At 43.8% G+C, this 20,877-nt stretch overlaps 2 pseudogenes, besides 3 other annotated features; both read right to left on the bottom strand.

Annotated features, from left to right (window-relative positions):
- Positions 295-875: an enhancer, noted in NCBI's record as "H3K4me1 hESC enhancer chr8:70858967-70859547 (GRCh37/hg19 assembly coordinates)". NCBI's record gives its function as "activates a minimal SCP1, AML or CMV promoter by ChIP-STARR-seq in naive H9 embryonic stem cells {active_cell/tissue: H9 hESC(naive)}" and the evidence as "EXISTENCE:reporter gene assay evidence [ECO:0000049][PMID:30033119]".
- Positions 3,321-4,798, bottom strand: SDCBPP2 (syndecan binding protein pseudogene 2; annotated as a pseudogene).
- Positions 4,862-4,911: an enhancer, noted in NCBI's record as "active region_27503". NCBI's record gives its function as "activates an Ori minimal core promoter by ATAC-STARR-seq in GM12878 lymphoblastoid cells {active_cell/tissue: GM12878}" and the evidence as "EXISTENCE:reporter gene assay evidence [ECO:0000049][PMID:35858748]".
- Positions 4,922-4,971: an enhancer, noted in NCBI's record as "active region_27502". NCBI's record gives its function as "activates an Ori minimal core promoter by ATAC-STARR-seq in GM12878 lymphoblastoid cells {active_cell/tissue: GM12878}" and the evidence as "EXISTENCE:reporter gene assay evidence [ECO:0000049][PMID:35858748]".
- Positions 17,585-17,702, bottom strand: RNA5SP270 (RNA, 5S ribosomal pseudogene 270; annotated as a pseudogene).

The raw sequence follows: 20,877 nt of genomic DNA, 5'->3' as shown, positions 1-20,877 counted from the left end.
GAGTTTAAAGGGACAAAGACAAACTGGGTGTGTGTGTGCTTGAGTGTGTGAATATAGAAAGTGGCCCTTGGAGCAGGGGTAAGGCTTACCTGAGGGTGTAGGATTAGGGCCGAGGCTTGGAAGCCCACACAGTATGGGTTGTTGTGTGATGTAATGGACTGATGACTCCTGGAGTCACAATTTTCTGGGAGAGATATGGCAGAAAATTTCCAAGAGCAGAATGGCTTTTTGAGCTGGATTCCCCTCATAGTCCCTTTCAACTCTGATTTCACAAATTCTTTCCTTTTACTAAGGGATCATTCAGGATTCCTTTTGGGGGAGAACAAAGTAACATTTATGAATTAGAGGGGACTTTATTATTATTATTAGATTCTTGCTCTGTCACCCAGGCTGGAGTGCAGTGGCATGATCTCGGCTCAGTGCAGCCTCCTCAACCCAGGTTCAAGCAATTCTCACGCCTCAGCCTCCTGAGTAGCTGGGATTACAGGCGCACGCCACTATGCCTGGCTAATTTTTTTTTTGCATTTTTAGCAGAGACTGGGTTTTGCCACATTGCCCTGGCTGGTCTCAAACTCCTGACCTCAAGAGATCCACCCGCCTTGGCCTCCCAAAGTGCTGGGATTACAGGCGTGAGCCGCCGTGCCTGACCTCACCCTTATTATTATTTATTTATTCTTATTATTTTTTTGAGATGGAGCCTTGCTCTATCGCCCAGTCTGTAGTGCAGTGGCGCGATCTCGGCTCACTGCAAGCTCTCTGCCTCCCAGGTTCACGCCATTCTCCTGCCTCAGCCTCCTGAGTAGCTGGGACTACAGGCACCCGCCACCACGCCTGGCTAATTTTTTTTTGTATTTTTAGTAGGGACGGGGTTTCACTGTGTTAGCCAGGATGTCTCGATCTCCTGACCTCGTGATCCGCCCGCCACGGCCTCCCAAAGTGCTGGGATTACAGGTGTGAGCCACCGCGCCCGGCCACCCTTCTTATTTTCTAGATGAGAAAGCAGGGACCGTAAGAGAGCCTGCTCAAGGTCACATGGCTTTTTGGCCTTAGAGAGGTGCCTGGGAGCTGGCACTTCTGCGGTGGCATGGGTTAGGTCTGCTCCAGATGGATACAAGTCTTGTTAAGGGGAGAATTTTTAGATGAAGGCATAGGGAGTGAGGCTATATTCTTTCTCTCTTACTTAGAATAAAAGGAGTCATTATGTAAGATGCATCTGTGCCTAGTATGATTCCTGAAAGGTCAACGCGTTCTTTCAGTTGAAACCAGTACACGGGTGCCACCTACAGGATTTGTAGAAAACAGATGTTCAGCATTTTCCTATCAATAGGCTTGGCTTTCAGCACAAAGGTATTAGACATTCATTTAAGGCCATCTGAAAATTACTATTATTAATATTCAAAGGGGGCTGATAACTAGTGGTTTTGCTGAGGAAAAATGTGTAGCCTAAGAGACCTAGGAGTGACAGAGAAGGCTGTGAGGTCGTGTGCCTATGGGATGTGACATCAGGACCATCTTTTTTTTTTTTTTTTTTTTTTGAGACGGAGTTTAGCTGTTGTTACCCAAGCTGGAGTGCAATGGCGCGATCTCCAGCTCACCGCAACCTGTGCCTCCTGGGTTCAAGCGATTCTCCTGTCTCAGCCTCCAGAGCAGCTGGGATTACAGGCCACCATACCCAGCTAATTTTGTATTTTTAGTAGAGACGGGGTTTCTCCACGTTGGTCAGGGTGGTCTCGAACTCCCAACCTCAGGTGATCTGCCTGCCTCGGCCTCTCAAAGTGTTGGGATTACAGGCATAAGCCACCACACCCGGCCTTAAAATGAGCTTATTAAGTGAATGCCTGAAGTATGGAAGGATGGTATAATGGGACATGTTGGGGAAAATTATTTATAAAATAATTCTTTAAAAAAATTTTTATGTATACATATTTAATTAAAATAGAATAGGTATAAACCAAAAAGAAGAAAAAAATCGGGATAAAGCATCACTACCATTTTGTTTGCAAAAGGAGTCAGGATATGAAACAAATTACCAGAAAAATACTCTAAGTTCATCCCAAAGTAGCTAGGTTACATAATCTTAAGAATCAAATACCATAATTAAGTATTATACCACTTAATCCACAAATGAACAAAAGAGGAGTCAAAAGTTTATCCTGGTTTAGGGTAATAATTTTTACATTAAATATATAGTGATTTGCTTCTCACAAAGTGGTACTGGCAACTTTTTTTTTTTTTTTTGAGATGGAGTCTCAAAAAAACTCCAGTCTGTTGCCCAGGCTGGAGTGCAGTGGTGCGATCTCGGCTCACTGCAGCCTCTGCATCCTGGGTTCAAGTGATTCTCCTGCCTCAGCCTCCCAAGTAGCTGGGATTACAGGCACGCACCACCACGCCTGGCTAATTTTTGTATTTTTAGTACAGACAGGGTTACACCATGTTGGCCAGGCAGATCTTGAACTCCTGACCTCAGGTGTTCCCCCCCGCCTTGGCCTCCCAAAGTGCTGGGATGACAGGCGTGAGCCACCACACCCGACCTCAAAGGCAATCATTCTAAATGTACTATGGTAGCATGTTAAAAATGGAAGTATGCTATAGAACTAAAGTAATATGAATAGCACTACTCACTACCTAGGAGAAAGGTACTGGTTCTCATGCAAAGCTAAGCCTGTATCAGTCATCCTAATCACAATGGCTTATAAAAGCATCAGGTTTCCAGTAGAGAAACTATTCTAGGAATGTCAGTAATCTCTTGAAAATTTCACATCTGTTAAACCAGGATAAGTCTACAACTATTTTGAAATCTGAACAAGGTATCACATGAAACAGTAAGATTCCCAGCCATAATGTAAGATAGAAAGGTCCTCATGCATATGCTTGCTGGCTCCAGGAAAGCTTCATGTGCATAATACAGAAGTTGCCAAAGAAGGAAACTGGAGCTACATTTCCGTGGTGCCGTGAATTTTAAACCTCAGGAATGGTGTGATCCATTAGGCTTTTCATAATGCTTGGTGCCATCCGCTTAATAATATGCTCACGGCTGGGTGCGGTGGCTCACGCCTGTAATCCCAGCACTTTGGGAGGCCGAGGTGGGCAGATCACAAGGTCAGGAGTTCGAGACCAGCCTGGGCAATATGGTGAAACCCTGTCTCTACTAAAAATACAAAAATTAGCTGGGCGTGATGGCAGATGCCTGTAATCTCAGCTACTTGGGGGGCTGAGGCAGAAGAATCGCTTGAACCTGGGAGGCAGAGGTTGCAGTGAGCCGAGATTGCAGCATTGCACTCTAGCCTGGGTGACAGAGTGGGACTCTGCCTACAAAAAAAAAAAAAAAGTTCAAAGATAAAAGGAGGCATGATTGTAATAGTAACTACAGTCCCATATGTTGACAGTATGTCTGCAATTTGAGAGTTCTTCAATCCAGTGACATTCTGTCTGTTGATTTCATAGATGTTATGTTCCGTGAGAAGACCATTTCTGGCTGCAGAGCTGTTTTTCACTGTGGATCACTGTGGACGTTATTTTTCCTTTTTTCTTTTCTTTCTTTCTTTTTTTTTTTTTTTTGAGATGGAGTCTTGCTCTTGTCACCCAGGCTAGAGTGCAATAGTGCGATCTTAGCTCACTGCAACCTCCACTCTCGGGTTCGAGCGATTCTCCTGCCTCAGCCTCCCAAGTAGCCAGGCACCTGCCACCATGCTCGGCTAATTTTTTTTTTTTTTTTTTTGAGACGCAGTCTCACTCTGTTGCCCAGGCTGGAGAACAGTGGCCTGATCTCGGGTCACTGCAAACTCCGCCTTCCGGGTTCAAGTGATTCTCCTGCCTCAGCCTCCTGAGTAGCTGAGATTACAGGCTCCCGCCACCATGCCCGGCTAATTTTTGTATTTTTAGTAGAGACGGGGGTTTCACCATGTTGGTCAGGCTGGTCTTGAACTCCTGACCTCGTGATCCACCTGCCTCGGCTTCCCAAAGTGCTGGGATTACAGGCATGAGCCACCGTGCCCGGCCTATTTTTCCATTTTTAAAGATAAAACCAACATGTCCAGTGCTATCCTTATGCTTGGTAATCGTCCGTTCAAAGGGCCTGTCACGAATTGTCATGTCATGGTAATCTTCTCTCCAAAAGCCTGTTTGAGCACCTTGTGCGCTTTATCAGAGCTCCACCCGGCAGTTTTCACCACTGATCTGGAGTACTTGGTCCCCAAATCTCAGACCAACCAATGAGGCTGGAGAATTAGCCTGGACTAGCTGAACAAATATATCATTATCTATTGATTTAAGCCTGAGTCCAATTTTTCCATCTTGATCCTTACACAAAATGACTTCGCGAATCCCTTGTTTAATTTCTGCTCTACGAATTCCAGCATCATTTTCAGTTACAGGAACCACCATACAGATCATACCGGAAGATCTTGCTACCAACTACCTCTGAATTGATGCACCAGAAACCACGGCCACATTTGCACGTATTTCTTCTTCATTTCAACTCAGGCCCATGTATTATTGAGAGAGCTCCGGATATAGTTTGGGATAGAGATTTCCATCTTGAGAGATGGGAGCAGCAGCTTCTGACAAAATTGCTGGGTTGGCAGGGTTTGCAGAAAAAGCAGTTTGAGCCTGAGTTACATTGTCTTCCTTCAAGTCTTCAAGAGATGGATAGAGAGACATTTTTGCAGGATTCTTCTAGCTCACAAGGACCCACTCGCTGCCGCTGTCGCCTCCGGTCACTGGCACCGACTTCTGAGGCCCGAGGGTAAGAGAGCGGCGCGCGCCGAGGACCGTTCCCGAGGCGCGTCACGGCGCCGCCTAAAAGAATTCTTCATAGCTGGCAATATTTTACGTATTTTTGGTGACTGTTCTAAGGGGTGGCTTGTTGGGAAGGGCTGTTGAAGCTGCAAGGATTTCTCTGGGCAATTGCACGCTATCTCCTCCTATGTAAGCATACCTTTGAATTCCTTCGGGCTTCCATTCTTGTCTCAAGCCCCTGTATACCAGTTCTGGAGCTAGCGAGGCAACCAACCTAAACCTCCGGATTTTCCCCAGGAGTGGCTGACTCTGCTGTTCTTTCTACTTATACCAGAGCGCCCTCTGCTGGACACGCCCAGAAGTAATTCTCAAATCTCGATGTTTGGAGTTGGCCCTCTCCCTCATTTGCCAGGAAAGTGACCCCTTTTCCTAGTGTGGGAGAAAGGCGAGTATTTCACTTCCTCCTATTTTCCCTCATCCCTCATCTCTCTCTTCCACCAAGACGGAGCTCTTCCCATGAAGCGAACATTTCTGTTCGTGAGGTGGCTCTGAGCAGGGGTGAGACGCTCAGTTTTGTCCTGTTGCTGAGCCCAGCTCCCAGGTGACCTTGTTCAGGGTGAAGTGACACTGTGCAGACCACTGGGCCCTTGGGAAGGGCACCTAGAAACTCTAACTTATTTGCATTGGGATGGAATCGTTACGAAGGATGAGGTTAGAGCCCAGAATATACAGTCAGAAGCGGGGCATAAAACTCTCTTTGAGCTTTTTAGCAACCAGCCCGAGGAGGATGGTGGAATCAGACAGGACAGTGTGGCGAAGAACAGTGACAGTCCCTCAGCACGTGTTGATGAACAGCAAAGCTGTCCTAACGTGCACTGAGATGTCAGGTTCACTCATTAGCAAGAGTTTCATATCACATCCTGGCTTTACAGTGGTTGTGAGTTAAGCAACTGACATGTCTCTTTTGAATAGCTGAACATGCAAAGATCAAATCTGCAAATGCCAAGAATCTATGGTTCATGGTGTGTATCTAAAAATAAACAGGCTGCTAAGGGGAAGTACAACTATCCCTGGGGCTGAAACCAAAGATAATTTCTACTGTCTAGTAGGAGACATCGTATTGTGCAGTGACCAACATCCTCTACAACATTCTTATGATAAATATGAATGCCATGTGGTTCTTTTAATATTTCCTTGTTGTAGATTGAAGTCATGCTACCAAAGCATAATTTACTAGAAAGAATTTGAGGGTGAGGCAGGGCTGTGTTTGGTATAAAAAGAATGGAGTCCAAAACACACATCAGGAGGAGGACTATTCTGGCGAGGTGGTAAGTCACTGGATGTTTGCCTGGGTACATTTTCTTCCATAGTGAACCTTCCAAGCTGATTGAGGGCACTATTTTCAGCAATGGATTATCCTCTTTCCTAGCTGCTAAATGATCATTTTTATTTCTTAATACTCAGCAAAGACCTACTCCATCCCAGTTAATGAACACAGGATTTTTCTGACCTTGAGCAGAAAATTAGATTCTTTAAAACAAAATGTAGAATGCTGAAAAATTTGTGGTCTTGCAGGGAATGCAGAAGACTCATTGGTCAATGGTTTAATAACTCTAAGCTATTATGTAGCATCACTTCTTAATCAGTTTTCATAATTAGATTGATTATATATCATATAATGGTGTGTTAAACTCATGGAAGGTCATGTCGATTTAACCCAGACAAGATAATTTGACCAGGCTCAACTTTTCAAAAATTATCAGTGACGGGGCTGGGCACAGTGGCTTATGCCTGTAATCCCAGCACTTTGGGAGGCCGATGCGGGTGGATCACGAGGTCAAGAGATTGAGACCATCCTGGCCAACATGGTGAAACCTTGTCTCTACCAAAATACAAAAATTAGCTGGGTATGGTGGTGCGTGCCAGTAGTCTCAGCTACTTGGGAGGCTGAGGCAGGAGAATCTCTTGAACCCGGGAGGTGGAGGTTGCAGTGAGCCGAGATTGCACTACTGCACTCCAGCCTAGCAACAGAACAAGACTCTGTCTCAATAATAATAATAATAATAATAATCAGTGATGGAGTCTCATTGTGTTTCCCAGGCTGGGCTGTAACTCCTGGGCTCAAGTAATACTCTCATCTTAGCTTCTGGAGTAGCTGAGACTATAGCCATGAGCCACCTTGCCTGGCATCAGTAATAATTCTTTTCTCTTTAACAGTGAAGGAAAGTCTGGGTGTGGTGGTTCAAGCCTGTAATCCCAGCACTTTGAGAGGCTGAAGCGGGATGATTGCTTGAGCCCCAGAGTTCAACACCAGCCTGGGCAACATGGTGAAACTCCATCTCTACAAAATTAGCCAGGCATGGTGGCATGTGCCTGTAGCATGGTGGTGCACACCTGTAGGCCCAGCTACTCAGGAGGCTGAGGTGAGAGACTCACTTGAGCCCAAGAGGTGGAGGCTTCAGTGAGCCAAGATCACACAACTGTACATCAGCCTGGGTGACAGGGTGATCCCCTCGTCTCAAAAAAAAAAAAAAAAAAAGTGAACTAAAAAAATAGGTGATCAATATATTTGCCTTAATTTGTGTATTTGTTTTTGTGGAGCTTTTACATGTCTGAATTGAGGCTGGGTTTTAAGTGGATGGTCCTGCATCTGCTTGTGGCTTGCCTTGGCAATATTGTATAGAGGAACCACATTAGGGTGTGGGTCTTGACATGGAAGACAGGCTCATCAGAGGATTTCCAGGTAACATAGACCAAGCCTTCTCAGGAGGGAGATTTGAGAGGGTGAAGGGGGAACATCATTACTAAGAGGTGGGAATTAATTCTGGGGAGAGAAGGGACAAAAAAATCACAGATATTTATTTCAACAGATATTACAATGGTTTGTGGCTTCCAAAGAGCCACAGTACATACAGAGATACATGGTATATCCGTAGTATTAAAATTTCATGGTGAGGCATGATTAGGAAAAAATGTCTGCTGGTATAGAACGGTGCACTGATATGCTGGGGCAGCTCTTGAGGTGTGTTAGAGGCCAGGCGGTGATGATGAAGATGATCAGGGTGATGCCATGCCTTTGTTGAGGGTGTATTTATTGTATGCTAGGCCTGTGTAAACACCACATGTGCATGATGTCATTTCATATTCAAAAGACCAAGTACGGAAAGTGAGATTTGCAGAAGCTGGGCAAGTTGTCCAGGGGAGGAGGTAATGTTTAGTGTTTGAGAATTCAGGCTGAGGTATGAGACCAGGCCTCCAACGATAGCATTTACTAGTCATTGGACCTCTGTTAGGCCTCACTTCCTCAATTATAAGTTGGAAATATTAATAGTAGCTTCTAAAGGGTTACTGGGAGAACTATATGACAAAATGCATATAAAGTGCATAGTAAAATGCTGAATAAAGGTTAGTTATTATAATTATTATATTAAATATAATAATATATTTAATACATATACTATTTTAAATACAATGACTATATATCATATCTATAATATAAATGTAAATATTATAATACATTCTATTTATAACATAAATATAACAATTATAATATTTTGCAATATATAATATAATAAAATTGTTATTATTATTATTAAAGTCTGCACCCTTCACCACTTCCTTTTTTGTTTCAGCTAGAGTGCTACACTTGGTTTCTTTTCTTTTCTTTTTTTTTTTTTTTTTGAGACAAAGTCTCGCTCTGTCGCCCAGGCTGGAGTGCAGTGGTGCGATCTCGGCTCATTGTAGGCTCCGCCTCCCGGGTTCATGCCATTCTCCTGCCTCAGCCTCCTGAGTAGCTGGGACTGCAGGTGTGTGCCACCACACCGGCTAATTTTTGTATTTTTAGTAGAGATGGGGTTTCACCATGTTGGTCAGGCTGGTCTCGAACTCCTGACCTTGTGATCTGCCCACCTCAGCTACCCAAAGTCCTGGGATTACAAGTGTGAGCCACAATGCCCGGCCCCTAGAGTTGGTTTCAATGTGTGTACTTTTTTTTGCTTGTCTCCACTTCTTTTGTGTTTGATTTCTTCTTCTATATATATATTTTAAATATAGAGACAGGGTCTCACTATGTTGCCTAGGCTGGTCTTGAACTCCTAGACCCAAGCAATCCTCCTGTCTCAGCCTCCCAAAGTGCTGGGATTACAGGCGTGAGCCACTGCACCTGGCCTCTTTTCCTATCCTCTTTTTTTTTTTTTTTGAGAGGAGGTCTTGCTGTGTTGGCCGGGCTGGAGTACAGTGGCATGGTCTTAGCTCACTGCAGCCTCTGCCACTCGAGTTCAAGTGATTCTCCTGCCTCAGTCTCACGAGTAGGTGGGATTACAGGTGGCTGCCACCACGCCCAGCTAATTTTTTGTATTTTTAGTATAGAGGGGGTTTCACCATGTTGGCAAGACTGGTCTTGAACTCCTGACCTCAGGTGATCCACCCGCCTCGGCCTCCCAAAGCGCTGGGATTGCAGGCGTGAGCCATTGTGCCCAGCCAACTTCTATTCTTGGTAAACATCAATAAATACGTCTTTAGGGATAATAAACTGACATTTTAGGGCATAGCCAAGCGCACATAAAATAATATTCAATTTCACAGATGCTATTTTATCTTTCAAATATATTTGATATTTGAAATGCATCTTCAATAAAAGACAGATGACCAACTCAAACATTTTTTCTACATATATGAAAGGATTGGTATAATTAATAATGAAATTGCTTTTAAAAATCACTAAGAGATGATAACTCTTCCAACAGAAATGGGCAAAGGACAAGATGAGGCAATTCATGCTAAAAAAGGAACAAAAATGGCTAATAAACAGGTAAGCAGTGTTTACTCTGGTAACAGTGAATTGTCTTTCTTTTTTTTTTTGGAGACTGGGTCTATCTTTTTTTTTTTGAGATGGAGTCAGGCTGTCACCCAGGCTGGAGTGAGGGTCTCACCATCTTGCCCAGGCTGGTTGTAAACTCCTGGGCCCAAGCCATCCTGCTGCCTTGGCCTCTCAAAGTGTTGGGATTATAGGTGTGAGCCACTGTGTCCAGCTGAATTGTCATTTTTGTTCATGAAATTGGTGAAATTTATTTTTTATTTTATTTATTTATTTTTTTTGAGACAGAGTCTTGCTCTGTTGCTGAGGCTGGAGTGCAGTGGCGCTATCTCGGCTCACTGCAACCTCCACCTCCTGGGTTCAAGCAGTTCTCCTGCCTCAGCCTCCCAAGTAGCTGGGATTACAGGCATGCACCACCCACACCCAGCTAATTATTTTGTATATTTAGTAGAGATGGGGTTTCACAGTGTTGGCCAGGCTGGTTTCAAATTCCTGACCTAAAATGATCCGCCCTCCTGGGCCTCTCAAAGTGCTGGGATTACAGGCATGAGCCACCGTGCCTGGCCAAAATTTAAAATGATCATTATATCTCTTGCTAGTGAGAATGTGAAAACATAAGCAATCATGCACTATTGTTGGCAGCATAAAATAATTTAACCTGTTAATAAAAAGCAGAGCTGTTTTTGGAGGAAAGTTTATATGTATCAAAAGCCTTACAAATTATGCAAGACTTTTGATCAGGAATTCCATTTCTAGGAGTTTATCTTAAGGAAAAAATATTTTCTTTATATTTTCATCTGAATGCAAAGATGCATATGTAAGGATTATTATTGCAGTTGTCTTTATAATAATAAACAATTAGAAACAAGTTAAATACAGGCCGGGTGCTGTGGCTCATGCCTGTAATCCTAGCACTTTGGGAGGCTGAGGCAGGTGGATCACTTGAACTCAGGAGTTCGAAACCGGCCTGAGCAAACATGGTAAATCCCCTTCTCTACTAAAAACACAAAAATCAGTTGGGTGTGGTGATGTGCGTCTGTAATCTCAGCTACTCATGAGGCTGAGGCACAAGGGTTGCTTGAAACCAGGAGGTAGAGGCTGCAGTGAACTGAGCTCTTGCCACTGCACTCCATCCTGGATGACAGAGTGAGACCCTGTCTCAAAAAAAAAAAAAAAAAAGAAAGAAAGAAACAGGTAAATTCTTAGTAATAGCTATTTCAGTTATTATTGTCAAAGACACTATTGTTCAATAAAATGGAAAGATTTTTCTTTTCTTTTTTTTTGAGAAAGGGTCACACTCTGTCTCCCAGTCTGGAGTGCAGTGGCACAATCATGGCTCACTGCAGCCTGGATCTCCCAGGCTCAAGGGATCCTCCTGCTTCGGCCTCCCGAGTAACTGGAACTACAGGCATGTGCCACTAGCCCACCTAATTTTCTTATTTTTGGTAGAGATGGGGTTTCACCATGTTGCCCAGGCTGGTCTGGAACTCCTGGGCTCTATTGATTCGTCTGCCTTAGCCTCCCAAAGTGCTGGGATTACGGGCGTGAACCATGGCACCTGGCTGATTTTTCAATTAATGTTGTCAAGGTAAAAAATCAGAGCATAGAATGGTACCTGTTCTATGATACTGTGCTTGCTTAAGTAGAAAAATGTGTCCATATGGCCATAGAAAAATATTGGAAGCACATAGCTCAAACTGTTAAAAGCAATTGCCTTTGCATATAGAATTACAGGCGATTATGTTCTTTTTTGAAGTTTCTGCAACAAGCAGGTTTTATGTTCTAGTTATTATTGCTGCATTATAAACCATTGTAAACTTAGTGACATAAAAGAACAATTATTTTATTATGTCAACAAGTTCTGGAATCAAGAATTTGGAAGGTCAGAGTGGGGATGGCTTGTTTCTGCTTCATCCTGTCTCAGATCTTAGCTGGGAAGTGACTAAACAGCTGGAGGCTGGAATAATCAGAAGGCTAATTTGCTCACCTGCCTGACACCTGGGCTAGGAGGACATTAAAGGCTGGTCTGATGCCAGGCGCAGCAGCTCACGCATGTAATCCCAGCACTTTGGGAAGCTGAGGCGGGTGGATCACTGGAGGTCGGGAGTTCGAGAGCAGCCTGATCAATATGGTGAAACCTGGTCTCTACTAAAAAAGATACAAAATTAGCCTGGATGCAGTGGCTCATGCCTGTAATCCCAGCACTTTGGGAGGTCGAGGCGGGCAGATCATGAAGTCAGGAGTTCGAGACCAGCCTGGCCAACATGGTGAAACCCTGTTTCTACTAAAAATACAAAAATTAGATGGGCGTGGTGGCGGGCGCCTGTAATCCTAACTACTCAGGAGGCTGAGGCAGGAGAATGGCTTGAATCCGGGAGGCAGAGGTTGCAGTGATCTGAGATTGTGCTACTGTACTTCAGCCTGGGTGACAGAGCAAGACTCCATGTCAAAAAAAAAAAAAAAAATTACAAAATTAGCTGGGCGTGGTGGTGCATGCCTGTAATCCCAGCTACTTGGGAGGGTGAGGCAGGAGAATTGCTTGAACCCGGGAGGCAGAAGTTGTAGTGAGCTGAGATCGCACCCTTGCACTCCAGCCAGGGAGGACAACAAGAGTGAAACTCTGTCTCAAAAAAACAAAACACAACAAAAAGATATATAGGATCTCTGACATCGCCTGTAATCCCAGTTCTTTGGGAGGCCGAGGTGGACGAATCGCCTGAGCTTAGGAGTTCAAGACCACCCTGGGCAACATGGTGAAACCCCTTCTCTACTAAAATCCAAAATCAGGCAGGCATGGTGGCAGATGCCTGTAGTCCCAGCTACTCAGAAGGCTGACGCATAAGAACTGCTTGAGCCTGAGAGGTGGAGGTTGCAGTGAGTTGAGATTGTGCCACGGCACTCCAGCCTGGGGAACAGAGCAAGACTTCATCTCAAAAAAAAAAAAAAAAAGACTGGTCTGCCTTCTGAAGCCCCTACCTGTGGCTTTTCCATGTAGCCTGGCTTCCTACCACCAGCATGCTGGCCTCGGTGTAGTTGGACTCTCATGACAGCTCAATAGAAGTTGAATTTCAGCAAGTCACAAGCCAGTCCATACTTCAAGTCGCAAACCTATCCATATTCAAGACATCCATATTCAGTTTGAACTTCTACAAGTCTTAAACCTGTCCATATTTATGAGGAAAGGGACACAGATACCACCTCTTGGTCACTTTGTGGAAAAGTGGGATGGGAGACATAGTTGCAGCCATCTTTGGAAATACATATATATTACTTTTGTATTTGGAAAAAAATCCATAAATATCATTGCAGTTAAAAAAAAAGTCTATAAAATACCTAGGAGCCTAATTATCTGAGGTATTCATTGCAGAATCATTTTGCATAATTGAGTTGAAAAGAACTTTCCTAGGTTTTGGAAGGAAAGACATCTGTGTGTTGCTCCTTGTGTCCTGGGTGAAGGTGTTACCTTTGAGATAATCCTGTGTGTGGGTGCCAGGGTAGATGTGGGGAAGGATGGGGGCAGGATTGCCAGACACAACACAGGACATCCCGTTACATTTTTTTTTTTTTTTGAGATGGAGTCTTGCTGTGTCTCCCAGGCTGGAGAGCAGTGGCACTGTCTCGGCTCACTGCAACCTCCGTCACCCTGGTTCAAGCTATTCTCCTGCCTCAGCCTCCCCAGTAGCTGGGATTACAGGTGTGCACTACCACGCCCAGCTAATTTTTGTATTTTAAGTAGAGACACGGTTTCACCATGTTGGCCAGGCTGGTCTCGAACTCCTGACCTCAGGTGATCCACCCGCCTCGGACTCCCAAAGTGCTGGGATTACAGGCATAACCCATCCCATTAAATCTGAATTTTAGATAAGTTACAAATGTTTTGTGTAAGTGTGTCCCATGTCCCAAATATTGCATGTGCCATACTTATACTAAACAAATTTTCTTTGCTTATCTGAATTTCAAATTTAACTGGTTATCTCATATTATTGTTTTTGCTAAATCTGGCAGTCATAATTGGGGGCAGTTCTGGAGATAAGCCCGAATGGGCCATTGCCACCTTCTTATAACTCTCCCACTGCCCGGCAGTGACGAGAAGAGCTCTGGCAGTGGTAGGGAGATTCTATTTTCAGCGTGGGCATCAACACAGTCTGAGAATAGAACAGGGCAAGGGATGGGTGAAGGAAAGAATGTTTTCCAGTATGTGAAGGGGGATCTGCCAGTAGGGCTGGAAACCTGGACTTGATTCCTGGACTAGTTGAAAACTCACTTTGACCTTGGACAAGTCACTAAATCCCTCTATGGCCAAGTTTCTTGTATAAATCCTACTAGTCCAATAGAGGGTTCTTGGGAAGATGAATATGAAATGAGTAAAGCTGCTGTGAAAGCCTTAAAAAGGAGCCCTAGGAAGGAAAATTCAAAGTATTGGTGCTAGTTCCCTCATTCTGAGCTGGCCAACACAGGACACCTGAAGGGCTTTCTCTACAAACTTTCTCTGGATGAGCTCACATCATTGTTTTTTATTTTTCAAAGTATTTTATTTTATCTTTTTTACAGATAGGTCTGTCTTCATCACCCAGGCTGCAGTACAGTGGTGAGATCATAGCTCAGTGCAATCTCAAACTCCTGGGCTCCAGCAGTCCTCCCACCTCAGCCTCCCAAGTAGCTGGGACCACAGGAATGAGCCACCACACCCTGCTAATTTTTAAATTAATTTTTTTGTTTGTTTGTAGAGACAGGGTCTCACTGTATTGCCCAGGCTGGTGTCTAACTCCTGACTCCTGGTCTCAAGTGATCCTCCCACCTCAGCCTCCCAAAGTGCTGTGATTACAGGAGTGAGCCACCACGCTTGGCTAACATTGTTTTTAAACAAAATATCAAGCCAAAGTGTTGTTGCTTTTTAAAATCTATCCCCTGGCCCACTTTGGGCTACATGAACTAGGACAACACCAGACGTTTCTGTGAATTAAAGAGGTAAATGTGCTGTGTCATTAAGTACTACTTTTTCTTCGTCTTCACTTATCTGCTATGACTAGTCTGCTGTGAAGTTCACACTAGTTAGATGCATAATGTGCTCTAAAAAGCTGTGTTCTTTTCCTTCTCTCTCTGCTAAGATGCAATTCCAGTAGCTAAAGTAAGGCTAGTGAATTTATGCCTATTTCCAAATAGAGATCTGGCCAATGACAAAGGGTTTTGTTTTTTTTTTTAATTTTTTATTTATTGGTTACTAGGTAGAAAAGGCTCCTGCATGGCTACAGTCCGACATAGTTCTGCACAGCAGGAGGGAGGCAGGCAGCCTGCTCCACTAACAAGAGGAAGTCATTTTTACATAATTTTCACAAAGATAGAAGGGTTTCCATTTTCTGGGGGGGGCGATTACAGGCACCTGCCACCACGCCCGTCTAATTTTGTATTTTTAGTAGAGACAGGGTTTCACCATGTTGGTCAGGCTGGTTTCAAACTCCTGACCTCAGGTGAACCACCTGCCTCGGCCTCCCAAAGTGTTGGGATTACAGACATGAACCACTGCGCCCAGCTAAAACCTCTATTAACTGGGAACCAGTTGTTTGGAATCTTCAAATTCGCCCCACTTCCAAGTCTGCATTTTAGCATTTAGTATATTTTTTATCAAATACTCAAATATTTGCTGAGTATTGATTTCGTAAAGCAAGCCACTCTTAAGAAAGTCACATTGTAAGTTTATTAAAAAGGAATAAATAAAAACAATCTTAAGTATCTCCTGAGGTGGCTATACATTCAGCTCTGTTCCTTATTTTTGTATTTTTTATTTTGAGTGTAGCATTGTAAACATACAATGCATAGTGAGACTTTGGGTCCAGCGCTATGGCTAAAGCCTGGCAAAATCCCCAGGATTAAGTACCCATGTATTTTGACTATATGGGTACTTAATCAGTCAAGGGGAAATGCTTTTGTTAAAAACAAGGTTTTTCCCTACAATTAAATAAATAAAAATGTAAAAAAATTCAGGATCTGCCGGGTGCAGTGGCTCACACCTGTTATCCCAGCACTTTGGGAGGCTGAGGCGGGCAGATCATGAGTTCAGGAGTTCGAGACCAGCCTGGCCAATATGGTGAAACCCTGTTTCTACTAAAAATCCAAAAAGTTAGTCAGGCGTTGTGATGGGTGCCTGTAGTCCCAGCTACTCGGGAGGCTGAGGCAGGAGAATTGCTTGAACCCGGGGGGTGGAGGTTGCAGTGAGCCAAGATCACGCCAATGCACTCTAGCGAAACTGTGTCTCCAAAAAAAAAAAAAAAAAAAAAAAAAAATGGGATCCAGGACATAGGCTCATTTCACAGAAATTTAAACAATTTAAACAATTGCATGAATAACATCTTCTTCATAATCATAGTTTTACCATATGCTAGGTAATACTAATATTAACTCACTCCTATTTCCATGACAACTATGATCCAGTAAAACACTCGCAAAAGTCATGTCTCATTGGAAATATGTATTGGATATTTGAAGGTTATTTGACGATGAGCTAGACCCGGCTTAGACTGTACCTAGAGTGCATAAATCCTGTTTGCACATTAGATTTCTATGGAGGTGGGACCTGGTTCACCTTATTCTCCAGGCACTGACAGATAATTGAATCTCACTAAATATTTGATGAACAAAGTAAATAAACTGAAGAATAGTATTTCTTTTTTTTCTTTTTTTTTGAGACAGAGTCTCGCTGTGTCACCCAGGCTGGAGTGCAGTGGCACAATCTCGGCTCACTACAAGCTCTGCCTCCCGGGGTTCATGCCATTCTCCTGCCTCAGCCTCCAGAGTAGCTGGGACTACAGGCTCCCGCCACCACGCCCGGCTAATTTTTTTTTGTGTGTGTGTTTTTAGTAGGGACTGGGTTTCACTGTGTTAGCCAGGATGGTCTCGATCTCCTGACCTTGTGATCCGCCTGCCTCGGCCTCCCAAAGTGCTGGGATTACAGGTGTGAGCCACCGCACTCAGCCCTAAGGGTAGTATTTCTTTCTTTCTTTTTTTTTTGTTTTTTTTCGCTCTTGTTGCCCAGGCTGGAGTGCAATGGAGTGATCCCAGCTCACTACAACCTCCGCCTCCCAGTTTCAAGCAATTCTCCTGCCTCAGCCTCCTGAGTAGCTGGGATTACAGGCAGGAGCCACCACGCCCAGCTAATTTTGTATTTTTAGTAGAGATGGGGTTTCTCCATGTTGGTCAGGCTGGTCTCGAACTCCCAGCCTTAGGTGATCCACCCACCTCGGCCTCCCAAAGTGCTGGGATTACAGGCGTGAGCCACTGCGCCCGGCCAAGAGTAGTATTTCTTAAACTTGGGTCTTATAACTAAGGCTTAGAGAGGTTAAGTAAATTCCTCAGGGTCACACAGTAAGTGATGGAATGGGGATTCCAAACCGAGGACCCCAGGTCCCATGGCCTTAACTGTTACTGTCAATTGCCTGTTATGGTTAATTGACTCCTTAAATTATACATTCATACATACATACATACATACATACATACATACATATGTGTGTGTGTGTGTATGCATACAGTCATGTGTTGCTTAATGATGAGGACATGTTCTAAGAAATGAGTTATTAGGCAATTTTGTCATTGTGTGAACATCACAGGGTACACTTACAAGCCTAGATGGTATAGACTACTACACACCTGGGCTCCGTGATATAGTTACATACCTGTACAGTATGTTACTGTACTGAATACTGTAGGCAACTGTGATGCAATGGTATTTGTGTATCCAAACTAGAAAAGGTGCGGTAAAAATACAGTATAAAAGACAAAAAATGGTACACCTGTATAGGGGGCACTTACCGTGAATGGAACTCACAGGACTGGAAGTTGTTCTGGGTGAGTTGAGTGACTTTATATATTATAATAAAGCATTTAATAATAACAACACATTATTACTATTATTACTACCAATACATTATTACTATTATTAATAACAAGAGATTATTACTATTAATAATAATAATTTTTTATTACTATTATTAATATAAAATTTAATTTATAAAGCAGCACTCTTCTTTCCTTTAAAGACTCCAGCACTCAGTAGTCCTAGGATTCTCCTATCCAAGTACTAACCAGGCCTGACCTGGCTTAGTTTCTGAGATCAGAAGAGACTGGCTACAGTCAAGGTGGTATGGACATAGGCAAATACTCTTCTTTCTTCAATAATAAATTAACCTTAGCTTACTGTAACTTTACTTTTTTTTTTTTTTTTTCTGAGACGGGATCTGGCTCTGTTGCCCAGGCTGGAGTGCAGTGGCTCAATCTTGGCTCACTGCAACCTCTGCCTCCTGGGTTCAGGTGATCCTCCTGCTGAGGCAGGAGGATCCCTGCCTCAGGAGGCTCCTGAGTAGCTGGGATTACAGCCAGCACCATGCCTGGCTAATTTTTGTATTTTTTGTAGAGTTGGGGTTTCACCATGTTGCCCAAGCTGGTCTCGAACTCTTGGGTTCAAGCAATCCACACACCTTGGCCTCCCAAAGTGCTGGGATTACAGGCATGAGCCACCACGCCCAGTCTAACATTTTACTTCATAATAAACTTTTTAGTTTTTAAATTTTCAACCATTTTGTAATAGCACTTTGCTTAAAACACAAACACATTGTATAGCTGTATAAAAATATTTTCTTTTTATTGTATTAAATAGCGATGAGGGGGTCTTAGCTTGTTGCCCAGGTTGTCCTTGAACTCCTGGACTTAAGCAATTCTCCCGCCTTGGCCTTTCAAAGTGCTGCGGTTACAGGTGTGAGCCAGTGTGCCTGGCCAGTTTTCTTTCTTTATATCCTTATTCTATAAGCTTTTTCTCTGTTTTAAAATTTTTACTTTTTAAACTTTTTTGTTAAAAATTAAGACACAAACACATTAGCCTAGGCCTACAGAGGGTCAAAATCATCAATATCACCATCTTCTACCTCCACACCTTGTCACTGGAAGGTCTTCAGGGTACCCTAGGAGCTGTCATGCATGGAACTGTCATCTCCTATGATAACAAAGGTATTCTTCCTCTGGAATACCTCCTGAAGGACCTGCCTGAGGCTGTTTTACAGTAAATTTCTTTATAAGTAGGAGTACACTCTAAGATAATAATAAAAAGTATATTATAACCGGGTGCAGTGGCTCACGCCTGTAATCCCAGCACTTTGGGAGGCCGAGGCGGGTGGATCATGAGGTCAGGAGTTCGAGACCAGCCTGACCAACATGGTGAAACCCCGTCTCTACTAAAAATACAAAAATTAGCCAGGTGTGGTGGTGCGCACCTGTAATCCCAGCTACTCAGGAGGCTGTGGCAGGAGAATTGTTTGAACCCGGGAGGCAAAGGTTGCAGTGAGTCAAGACGGCGCCACTGCACTCCAGCCTGGGTGACAGAGCGAGACTCTATCTCAGAAAAAAAAAGTATATTATAGTAAATACATAAACCAGTAACATAGTCATTTATCTTCATTATCAAGTATTATGTCTATACATAATTATATGTGCTATATGCCTCTACTGGCAGCACAGTAGGTTTGTTTATACCAACATCACCACAACACACATGAATAATGCATTGTGCTACAACATCGTTGTGCTATAATGGAGTTTTCAGCTCTATCATAATCTTATGGGATCACCATGTCCATGTTATGGGAACGTTATGGGAACAACATTTATATGTTTCACCACATTACTGAATACTGTAGGCAGTTGTAACACAGTGGTAATCATGTTTGTGTATCTAAACATGTCTAAGCATAGAGAGGTACAGTATAGAAATACTGTATTGTAATCTATGGGACCACCGTCATATATGCAGTCCCCTATTGACCCAAATGCTGTTATGTGGCACATGACTATACTTAGTTCTTTGGCCATTTTGCTGTTTCTAGTGAAAATACTTGTACAAACAGCATTAGTTAAGAGTATGGACATAGGCCGGGTACGGTGGCTCATGCCTGTAATCCCAGCACTTTGGGAGGCTGAGGCAGGCAGATCACCTGAGGTCAGGAGTTCGAGACCAGCCTGGCCAACATGGTGAAACCCCCATCTCTACTAAAGATACAAAAAATTAGCTGGGTGTGGTGGCAGGTGCCTATGATCCCAGCTACTCGGGAGGCTGAGGCAGGAGAATTGCTTGAACCCAGGAGGTGGAGGTTGCAGTGAGTCGAGGTCGCGCCATTGCACTCCAGTCTGGGTGACAGGGCAAGACTCCGTCTCAAAAAAAAAGACTGGAAAGGTAGGCTAGGGAAAGACCTTGTAAGAACTCCACAGAACTATATACACTTGAAAAAACCACAAAACAACGCAGAGTAATAAAAAGTAATATAAATACACTTAACAATAGTGCATTATCAATAATTATAACATACTAATCTCTCAAAAGTGTTCTGGGAAATAAAAATTCATTGTTCAGTTTTTTTTTTTTTTTTTTTTTGAGACAGAGTTTTGCTCTGTCATCCAGGCTGGAGTGCAGTGGCACGATCTCGGCTCACTGCAAGCTCCGCCTCCCTGGTTCAGGCCATTCTCCCGCCTCAGCCTCCCAAGTAGCTGGAAGTACAGGCACCCGCCACCAGGCCCGGCTAATTTTTTTGTATTTTTAGTAGAGACTGCATTTCACCATGTTAACCAGGATGGCCTCGATCTCCTGACCTCGTGGTCCGCCCGCCTCGGCCTCCCAAAGTGCTGGGATTACAGGCGTGAGCCACCGCGCCCGGCCTCTCAGTTTTTTAATCTTTGGGTCTGAACCATGTCAAGTGTTTTCTGTTACTCTCTGAAGGACAAAACTTCTTCCTCTCTGTCTTATGGTTGTTAAACTGTTCTGCGGCTCACTGAGAGATGGAAGGGACGCACGGCCTGCCCTGGCCATGTTTGCCTGGTGAGGCTGCTTCAGCTTCCTCTTGGTGGATCTGCCAGGGTCTCCCTTGATTTCCTTGGAAACAACACAGTGATGTGGGCTCCAGCTGTGACAAGAACGAGACTTTGTCTCAAAAAAAAAAAAATCAAACTGCATTTATTTTTATCTTATTTTTTATTTTTGAGACTGAGTCTCGCTCTGTTGCCCAGGCTGGAGTGCAGTGGTGCGATCTCAGCTTACTGCAACCTCCGCCTCTTGGGTTCAAGTGATTCTCCTGCCTCAGCCTCCCAAGCAGCTAGGATTATAGGTACATGCCACCACACCCAGCTAATTTTTGTATATTTAGTAGAGAGGGGGGTTTTGCCATGTTGGCCAGGCTGGTCTTGAACTCCTGACTTCAAGTGATCCCCTCGCCTCAGCCTCTCAAAGAGCTGGGATAACAGGCATGAGCCACTGCTCCCAGCCATGTTTTCTCTGTATTTTCTTTCTT

Source organism: Homo sapiens, chromosome 8 (assembly GCF_000001405.40).
Source record: "Homo sapiens chromosome 8, GRCh38.p14 Primary Assembly".
NCBI classification, from domain to species: domain Eukaryota; kingdom Metazoa; phylum Chordata; class Mammalia; order Primates; family Hominidae; genus Homo; species Homo sapiens.
This window is presented reverse-complemented; position numbering and strand designations above follow the sequence as displayed.